This window comes from Homo sapiens, chromosome 21, assembly GCF_000001405.40.
Source record: "Homo sapiens chromosome 21, GRCh38.p14 Primary Assembly".
NCBI lineage: Eukaryota > Metazoa > Chordata > Mammalia > Primates > Hominidae > Homo > Homo sapiens.
Genome location: NC_000021.9, coordinates 16,622,170 through 16,632,222, shown reverse-complemented (window position 1 = coordinate 16,632,222; position 10,053 = coordinate 16,622,170). Strand labels below are relative to the sequence as shown.

General features: G+C 35.7%; 1 long non-coding RNA gene across 1 annotated transcript in view; it reads right to left on the bottom strand.

Moving 5' to 3' along the window:
- Positions 1–495: 495 nt before the first annotated feature.
- MIR99AHG (mir-99a-let-7c cluster host gene) overlaps positions 496–10,053 on the bottom strand; it is a 561,240-nt gene continuing 551,682 nt past the window's right edge. The window contains exons 8-10 of the long non-coding RNA NR_136541.1: positions 4,438–4,507; positions 4,202–4,339; positions 496–1,427 (exon numbers count right to left, since the gene is read on the bottom strand). This is a non-coding gene — a long non-coding RNA (mir-99a-let-7c cluster host gene). The remainder of the gene's footprint in view (positions 1,428–4,201; positions 4,340–4,437; positions 4,508–10,053) is intronic.

The window sequence follows — 10,053 nt, the reverse complement described above, 5'->3', positions numbered from 1 at the left end:
GTGTTCCATCCCCACAATTAGTGTTGTTTGTGATTAAAAAAAAAAAAAAAGGTCAAGCAACTGTTTTTGGGCATTGAATATTTGGACTAAAAGATATAAAGCTCACAGTAACTATGTTTTCTACTAAGTGGATGGAAGTAAGACAGTGGGGGGTAGAGCGGAGGTGGAGGGAGCTAGTGGAGTGTGGTGGAAGGGGGTCAGGTGGCTGGGGCAGAGGTGGAAACTAAGTTTGGTCAGTCTTTATTCCCTGGATTCTGATATTCCTGAGGCACAGCTGTATTCCTGTACTTGGTTTCTATGAAACGCCTCATAGAAAGGGGGAAGTACCCTAACGGTACCCTCTATGATTTCTGCTTTTTCTTAAACTAATATAAATTGGGTTTTAACCTTTTGCAATCCCTAAAAGTAACATGAAACAACATTATAACATTATGATTATGAAGTTAAAATCGAGGACAAAATAGAATTTGAATCAAGATTCTGCTATTTATTAATCTGTGTCATGGAGGACCAATTTATTAATTTATTAATCTCTTCAAAGTTTATCTTCTTTATTTAAAAAAGAGCAATAATAGAACCTATCTGATAAAGGCATTAGAAGGGTCAAATGTAATTATATATGCAGAGTTCTTAAAATGCCTGAATATATAGTAAGATCTTAGTTATGGATTTTTAATGTTTATAGCCTGGCCAAACGGTGAAAGTCTGCTTTAAATTGGTATTTCAAACCTACCCTCATTGATGTGTCTCATTTTCTGTGGCACATTCTTTCATGCGCATCCCTGTGAAGAGATCACCAAACAGGCTTTGTGTGAGCAATAAAGATTTTAATCACCTGGGTGCAGGCGGGCTGAGTCCAAAAAGAGAGTCAGCGAAGGGAGATAGGGGTGGGGCTGTTTTATAGGATTTGGGTAGGTAAAGGAAAAAGTGGGGTTGTTCTCTGGCAGGCAAGAGTGGGGGTCACAAGATGCTCAGTTGGGGAGCTTTTGAGCCAGGATGAGCCAGGAGAAGGAATTTCACAAGATAATGTCATCAGTTAAGGCAAGAACAGGCCATTTTAATTTCTTTTGTGGTGGAATGTCATCAGTTAAGGCAGGAACCGGCCATCTGGATGTGTACGTGCTGGTCACAGGGGATATGATGGCTTAGCTTGGGCTCAGAGGCCTGACACATTCTGCATTCCCATTTATTTCAGAATATTTCTTAGACTCCTGTTATGATTAGTATGTATTGAGAGTTGGGCTTTATACCTTATTCCATGAAAATTTATGCACATCTCCTTTTCTGATGTATCATTGTTTGCTAGATGTCCATAATAGGGCATTTGTGAATAAACAAAATACTTGGTGCTATGAAATTGGGGACATGATGACATGGATTGATCCTCTTCAAGTGTAGCTTGGTGAGTGCCAGGCAGTTATCCCATTCTGTGAAGAGAAGAGTAAGTTCACAAGTTGAGATCCTGAAAAACAAACAGCCGAAGGTTGCCCCTCCTACTGCTCTTGGTAATGGTCTTCGTTGCCTATTCTAAAATGTAGGTTGTTACAATAAGAACAAAGCTGTACATGGACATGAACCTGGAGAGGGGCTTGGACTAGATCAACCTTTGTGGATGAGGTTTGAGATACCACTTTTCTGCTCCATGGTAAAGACCTGTAGCCTAAGGTCTAGTCTGCAAAAATTCTGTAAGTGAGCTCCACTCTTACCACATTAACAAGCTAAATGTGTCACAGCAATGTGGTATGGTGGTGGGGGTGTTTGTGGGGAAGAGGCATGTCCCAAGACCAGTTAGACTAAAATCCAAGGAGTAATGAAGGATAGGATAAGCAAACGTAGCAGGGAGCAAAACACAGTTTTTTAGCTAACATGTATTTCCTAAAAATGTAAAAAGTTTTAAAAATGTAATTTTATAAAATGAAGTCTAAAGTATACAAGTAAAACATTTCTAAAACCTACATGAAATTTAATAATATTGATTCTAAAATTGTTGATATGTTTTAATATGTTCCCTCTCCTCAGCCAAAATTGTAAATCAGATTTTGCTTAGTGACAGAATAGGATCTCTGGTGGGCTTGCAATTCCCAGGCAAGGCTTAGGAGGAGATAATGGGGAAGGGGGGAAAAATGCAGCACAAAAAGACTAAGTATTTTTTAGTATAGCAGATCAGAGTAGATTCACAGGAGATTGAACACTTTTTTTTTTCTGCCAAATTTTGGACGTGGAATTCAGAAAAAGACCAGATTATGTGTGCTGTATTTTTTGTTTACATCCAAGTTGTGTGCGTGGAATTTTGTGACTCTTCCAATCCAGCAATAACCAGGTAAAAAATGTAATGGAAAAAAATCTTTCTAATTTTCACAAAAGTATAAACTTGCCAGAAGTCTATTAAAACATATTTATGAGTCCTATAAGAAAACTTGAATACATGGAGAGATAGAATGCTGCTATATATAGTCAAATATTATAAATTGATTATTGAAATCATCTATGTATTGCTAAGATAATGTAGTACTGCATTATTAAGTATTGTTTTAACATCCTATACAAATTACATTTGCTAGCATTTCTTCTAGAAATTTGCAATTACCTTCTTAAACATTACCCTCAGTATTTTTTAAAAATTTTCTGCGTGTTGTATTCTTTCTCATTTTTTTCCTGCTGCTTATTCCTTTTAAAATAGTAACGAATTTTTTTCTTTAAAAATATTAGTTCTGTGATTTACTTGTTGATTTTCCAATTTCTCTAATGCAATTAAATTTGTGTTCTTTCTAAGTTTCATCTTTGCTTTATTGTAGTCCAGTTAAGTTCCTGTGATAAAGACATGATTCTTTTATACTTCTTTTTAATAGACTGTTAAAGCCTATGAATTTGTCTCTAAGAAGAGCTTTGGTAATACATCAGTGTTGAAACGTGGTGCTGTAATTTAGTAGGTTCTTAAATGGCCTACAGTTATGGTTTAGTTTGCCTTTTGTCACAACAGTTATTTAGGCAAATGGTTTGCTTATTTTAATGTTGTTATTGATTTGTTGTTTGTTTTTAATATTTTTGGGGAATGTTTTTATGAAAAGATTATTTTTTTTGTATTATTAAGTTGTGACCTTATGTAATTCCTGAAATTTCTGTTATTTATTATTATTATCTTGTTCTTAACTAATACTAGTCTATTTTGGTAAATCATAGATGCTTGAAAAATGTATAGTTTCTGTTTATAGGGTACAAGTCCTTAAATAACTGTTAATAAATAACAGTTATTAACTTTGACTTTTATTGCCTTGATTTTAGTTATTTAAATTATATGATTCTTGACTAGTGATTTGATAATTATACACAATGTTTATATTTTATATTTATTTTGTACGTCTCCTTAAAATGTCTACATATATTTCTTATACTTTATACCTGTGTTAGTATCAAAGCCAAGAATGAAGCAGCACAGTTTTCCCTGCCCAATTAGGACAAAAATATGAATACATCTTTCCTTTTGTACTCCTTTTATTCCCTCTCTTCACATCCACATTCCCTTTCTACTTTTTGTCAATATAATCTATATTTTAACATCAAATTATTGTTGATTTGTAAATCTTTTTTAAACATTTAACTCTTTTAATTTTCCAATGATTTTCATATTTGTATTTATTCTAAACATATTACTAATTATTCTAGAAACTTACCTTTACGTTGGTTTACCACTGTGCTCCTGTCCCCTACACAGAGCCTAGCACATCATATGCTCTCTGGAATTATGTTAGGGAGCCATTGCAGACTGACAGGAGAAAGAAAATATGAACCTAAACCAAATGAAACTTTAACTCTCATAATAAATATTGCTTCTGTTAACACGTTACCACCAAGATTATGGTAAATCCATAGAGTGGATTTTACCATGATAATCCCATCTCTGCGTGGTCAAAACATTCAAAGACACACTGCTCAGAATGAAAACTTTATGATTTCCCATGTGTTAATACTTATTTTTATTTATTTATTTTTTTGAGACAGAGTTTCATTCTTGTTGCCCACGCTGGAGTACAATGGCAGGATCTCAGCTCACCGCAACCTCTGCCTCCCGGGTTCAAGCAATTCTTGTGCCTCAGGTGCCGAGTAGCTGGGATTACAGGGATGCACCACCATGCCTGGCTAATTTTGTATTTTTAATAGAGACGGGGTTTCACCATGTTGGTCAGGCTGGTCTTGAACTTACCTTGGGTGATCCGCCCGCCTTGGCCTCCCAAAGTGCTGGGATTACAGGTATGAGCCAACACGCCTGGCCTGTTAATACTCTTGAGAGGTGAGATGCGTACATTAACTTCATTGTTGTTAGCTCTTTTAATGAATTCACCTGTAAATAACGGTAAACATTGGTCTCAAACTCTCAGCTACACATTGTAATCACATGAGAAGATTTTTTAAAGATCCTAATGACCTGTGTCTACTCACCAGACCAATTCAGTTCAGTTCTCTCTGGTTGAGAGCCAGGCATCAGTATTTTCTAAAGCTCCTGATTTGACTGCAGAATGCAGTTAAGAACAAAAACATAGGAGAATGAATGGAGTCTAAACCTTCAGTCTAGTTATGCCTCTGGACATAATTCAACATAAGAAAGAGCTTTCTGGATACTTAAAAAGTGATCTTGCTAGGCCGGGCACAGTGGCTCACAACTGTAATCCCAGCACTTTGGGAGTCCAAGGCGGGCGGATCACGAGGTCAGGAGTTTGAGACCAGCCTGGCCAACATAGTGAAACCCTGTCTCTACTAAAAATACAAAAATTAGCCGGGCATGGTGGCACATGCCTGTAGTCTCAGCCACGCGGGAGGCTGAGGCAGGAGAATCGCTTGAACCCAGGAGGTGGAGGTTGTGGTGAGCCGAGATCGCGCCACTGCACTCCAGCCTGGGTGACAGAGCAAGACACCGTCTCAAAAAAAAAAAAAAAAAAAAAGATCTTGGGAAACAGAACTTTCTAAATGATCGAAAAGCACTTGTATCATTCAATAACCATTTCCTCATTTCCAGCATGCAGATGATTGGGAGTGTCACGCTCTGTTTTGCTGTGAAGATGGAGACAAGAGTTAGTCAAATCGCTTAGTTAAAATCAACTTGGAAAACAGATCATAATCCAGTTTTTCAATATCAAGACTTTGACCCAGTAGCTACTTTTTGATAAATTTAAAATTGATATGAACAGAATTAATAAACTTAGTTAACAAACTCAGTCTTCTTAGGAAAAAGACAATGTCTACAGACAAGAGTAAGCAAAATTGGCTTTGTAGAGCTGAAACTTCTAATTATTCCTGGCCTCTTCCTTGCTAAGTCAAATATTAAGCTGGTAATATCTATTCATTTTATTATTTGTGCTGTTGTTTATCAATATGCTATTATAAATATGCCTAATGCTTGGCATATAGCCTCTTTTTGTTTGTTTGTTTTTTCGAGATGGGGTCTCGCCCTGTCACCCAGGCTGGAGTGCAGTGGCACGATCTCAGCTCACTGCAACTTCTGCCTCCCGGGTTCAAGCGATTCTCCTGCCTCAGCCTCCTGAGTAGCTGGGATTACAGGTGCCCACCACCACACCTGGATAATTTTTGTATTTTTAGTAGAAACGGGGTTTCACCATGTTGGTCAGGCTGGTCTCAAACTTCTGACTTCGTGATCTGCCAGCCTCAAATTCCCATAGTGCTGCGATTACAGGTATGAGCCCCCGCGCCCGACCGGCATATAGTCTTAACTATATTTTGAAGATAGATTTATTTGTAAAGGAATCTAGATTTTCAAAGATAGATAGATAGCTTAATTGAAAAATATCAAGCAAGCTGGGCATGGTGGCTCATACCTGTAATCCTAGCACTTTGGGAGGCTGAAGTGAGAAGACCACTTGAGCCCAGGAGTTCAATACCAGCCTGGGCAACACAGTGAGTCCTTGTCTCTAAAAAATAAAAAGGAAAGAAAGCAAAATACCTAACAGAATAGAATCCATGGACTTGCATCTTAAAGAAAAATAATCAAGAAGATAATGTAAGTTAAGCGTCTTCTTTAGTGATTTTCACATAGTGCAGTGGTTCTCAAATAGTGGACCTGGGCCAGCAACATGAACACCAGTTGGGAATTTTAGAAATGCAAATTTTCTGGCTCTACCTAGCCTTATTGAACAGAATCTGAGATTGGAGACCGGCAATCTTTGTTTTAATAAGCCCTCTCTGTGTTTCAGTTACACTCTAAAGTTTGAGAATTTCTGACACAGTAGAAATGCTATGAAAAGGCACTCATTTTTACTGTTTAGAAAAAAAATTTGTCGGTAGCAAAAGATATTTGCCCAGAAGTTCATTTTTATCTCTAGCACAAATAATCAGGGTACTTATCATTCTATTATATTTTTTCATTACATGTCAAAGATTCATAAGTAGTTTGCAACAGCTTTCTTCATACACTTAAGTAATTATTAATTCCTTACATTTGCTTTCAAAAATTCTTTCAAACAGCAGAGTTAGATTTCACATGTACTTTACTTACCTCATCGAGATAATGTTTCTATAATGATCTTGCTTATATGTTGCATAATTAGATCTAGTATCTCTCTAATGAGACATACCATGTTATCTGGAACCAGCTGTTATATCCTGGATAGCAAAGGACACTTTACACTAAATTTTCTGAGACACTCAAGAATAATAAAAGTGGTCATTTCATAAAATTATATTTTCTTCCTTTCTTTAAGAAAGTTGTTATTAAATAGTTGTTTTTGAATTGATACTGATATTCACAACTCAAAGGACTAAGGCAGTCAGCTAGTTTTGGCAGGAAGCATAATGTGTAATAATTATTACACTGGGAGAATAAGGACTCTCACTCAGTTCTCACAACTGTAAACAGTAAACTGAGAATATAGACCAGTTTTTTCTAATATTGTTGCATTTGCATATTTACCATACATCTGAAATTTTTACATTACAGTTTTAAAAATAATATTTTTATATGAAGCATGTATTTATTTATTAAGAAACAGTTGTAAGTAGCCTTAGCAATGTTGTAGTCCTTTTTTCAGTGACTGCTTACATGTGTTTAATAAATATGAGATGGAGGTAGGTAGACATATATACCTATGGGGCTTGCTTTATTGATTATTCACTCACAAAAATATCTATGTGCATTTTTAATACAGACAAATGAATACACAATAGACATATGTGGATATGCAAAGTGAACTGCATGAAGCTGTAGCCACTTGTTTACATTCAGTAGCATTCTCACTTCCCTACTCAAATGTAAATACATAACTATTTATCTAAACTGTATTTGCTTGTTAATGAAACCAGAGCACGCAGCATTTTATGAAAGTGTGGTGAATTAATGGATAAGATTACCTCACCTCCCTACAGCCTGAGTCTCTACAGAAGAGGAAATTAAGGGAGACAAACTGAACTGTGATGCTTGGGGACTCCCTTGATTCTGCCTGTCACCGTTTTTAAGCTGGCTCAAGGCCTCAGGGGAGTCTGGCTGTTCTAACCTTCCTCAGCCAGCCAGACGGTAACGGTCCACTGCTTTTATTCATTACCCTGAATGTAATGCACTAAATTTAACAAGTAACACACTCAGCGGGAATTTATTGGCCTTTTGCAGCATGATTGCAAGGTAGGATATGGATATGGATTCCAATTACTGTTGACACCCAGATAAGAAGAACAAAGCCTGTATATAATTATTAATCAAAGTTGATATCTTAGGGAAATGAAATTAAATAAATAAATAAACATCTCTATACTATGTGATGCAAACATTCCCAAGTTTGGAAAACTCTTTCTGGTTACACAATAGAGGCATTCCAATTAAATATAGCAATAATAAAATAGCAACACGTAAAGGCAAATGTTCTTATAAAGCAGCAACTTTCACACACAAATAGCTCATGGAGCAGATGTATAGAAACTAACAAATTCCAAACAGAGACTCATATGTAATGTGTAAATAAATAGCCAAATGAACAGCAGTCTTTAAATAAAGATTTAATATTTTAATTAGAAAAAATAATCCACATAATATTGTTATTCCAGAAGGTAGTTATATAGAGATCTACTAAAATAGAAGTAATTTTTTAAGAAATGTAGTATTACATTTTCATATCCATAGTACTAGAGTTACCCAATCATGAAAATTATTGCTGGCCTATAGGTAGATATGATGATGACCCTCAAAGTCCTTGGGTTGCAACAGGAAAATGGGAGGAGCCAGATGCACTAACTCACTTCACGCAAGGATTTGCTATTGAAATTGTTTGTTTTATTTATAAAGGCCATAGGGAAACACAAATGTAAAGGTATAGAAGAGAATGAACATGATATTATTTTATCGCACTGTGGATGAAAAATGTTGAAGAATGCAAGTCATACAAAAACAAAATGGAACGTCACCTTCTATGTGATTAACCCAAATGACCAATTTAAATTAATGAAATAAGAGGCAACATGCATCACTGGTAAAGGCTTGAACCCTCACGTTACACAGAATCATACCCTGGCTTCAAGAATTACGAGCTTTCTGACCTTGGGCCACTAATTTAATCTCTCTTAGCCTGTTTCCTCAAGTGTAAAATAGGGACGATTATAGTAGCTACCTGCATTGTTAAACTAAAATAAAATAATCCCAGTAAATTACTTAAGATCGTAGTGGGTACAAAGTAAATACTCAATAAATATTAGCATTTTATGTTATTTTGTATTAATTTAACCTATTCAGTATTAAAACTTATTAAACTAGAAAGCAAATATCATCAAAACCTTTTTTTTAATTCCTGGATATGCTTTAGTATAAATTTGAGCTGAGAAGTTTTAATGAAGAAAACGGACATTTTACCCTCCTATGGATCAGTTTGGATTTAGTCATGGTTTTATAGCACAGTCTTGTCACATAACTGTGTGAAGTTAAATTTCACTTCTGATACTCAGCATATTTAATGTATAACATTGGCCCAATGATACCTGCCTTTGAGGGCATATAGGGGAAATTGGAGGAAACGTACATCTGTAAGTATGTCCCTGAGATTCAGCACGTGGGCTAGTACTATCCAAATATGGAGCTATTTATTATTACGGTTCTATACATGGACTCTTGTGTTTTGTCATCAATGTGATTCCTCCAGGTATGATTCCCAGTATGTAGCAAATGAAGGCTGAAACATGCTAATTGGTCTTTTCAAGACTTCAGAGTTAATAAAAATGGTAGAGCAAGAGCCTAACTCACCCTAGCTCAGAATAAGCATAAGTCAGTGTTCTTTCTACTACAGAAACTGCCCTCAGTAGTATGAGGAAGTAAAGGTAGATAACTAACAAAATGTGTGTGTGTGTGTGCACGTGTGTGTGTGTGTGTGTGTGTGTGTAAAAGCATATGCTGTTGATCATGATGGTTGGTACACAGTTTGGGTCTTAGAGAGTGGCTAAATGAAAATCATCGAAGTTGTGCCATGTTTTTTTCTGAATTTCCTAAGAATGTCATGGAGGTTACCTAATTGAAGCCATAAATAATTGAAATAATGAGATAAAATTATCTGCAGAGAGATAAAGAAGTACTTCAATGTCAATATCACCTACTGATGCTTTGGGGGCTAAGACTTCAAAAGGCCCATAAAGCCAAAGGAAGCAGTTAAGTAACATGGATTCTGTCAACCTATCCTAGTATAACAATAAAATGATTATTTAAGCCACACACATTAAACAAAACTAACAATCAAATAGTATCATACAGATATGTCTAATTATTTTTTCATTTGATTTTTGTCATTACACTGGAACAATTTTTATTTCAGAATACATGGGATCTTCATGTAAAAACTGTTCAGATAACTTAGAGGCCTAGTCTTCCGAATCAGAGAAACATGAATAATACATGATCTTTTAAACATTAAGAAAGGATAAATTAAACAAAATAGTACTTTAAGTAAATAGTGAGTAAATGTTTACATTGAAGGAAATTCATTCATTCATTCATTCATTCTTAAGTGATAAGTGCCTTCTCTTAACTAGTTCTGTGCTAGCAATGAGGATACAGCACTAAATCAGATAGATGAG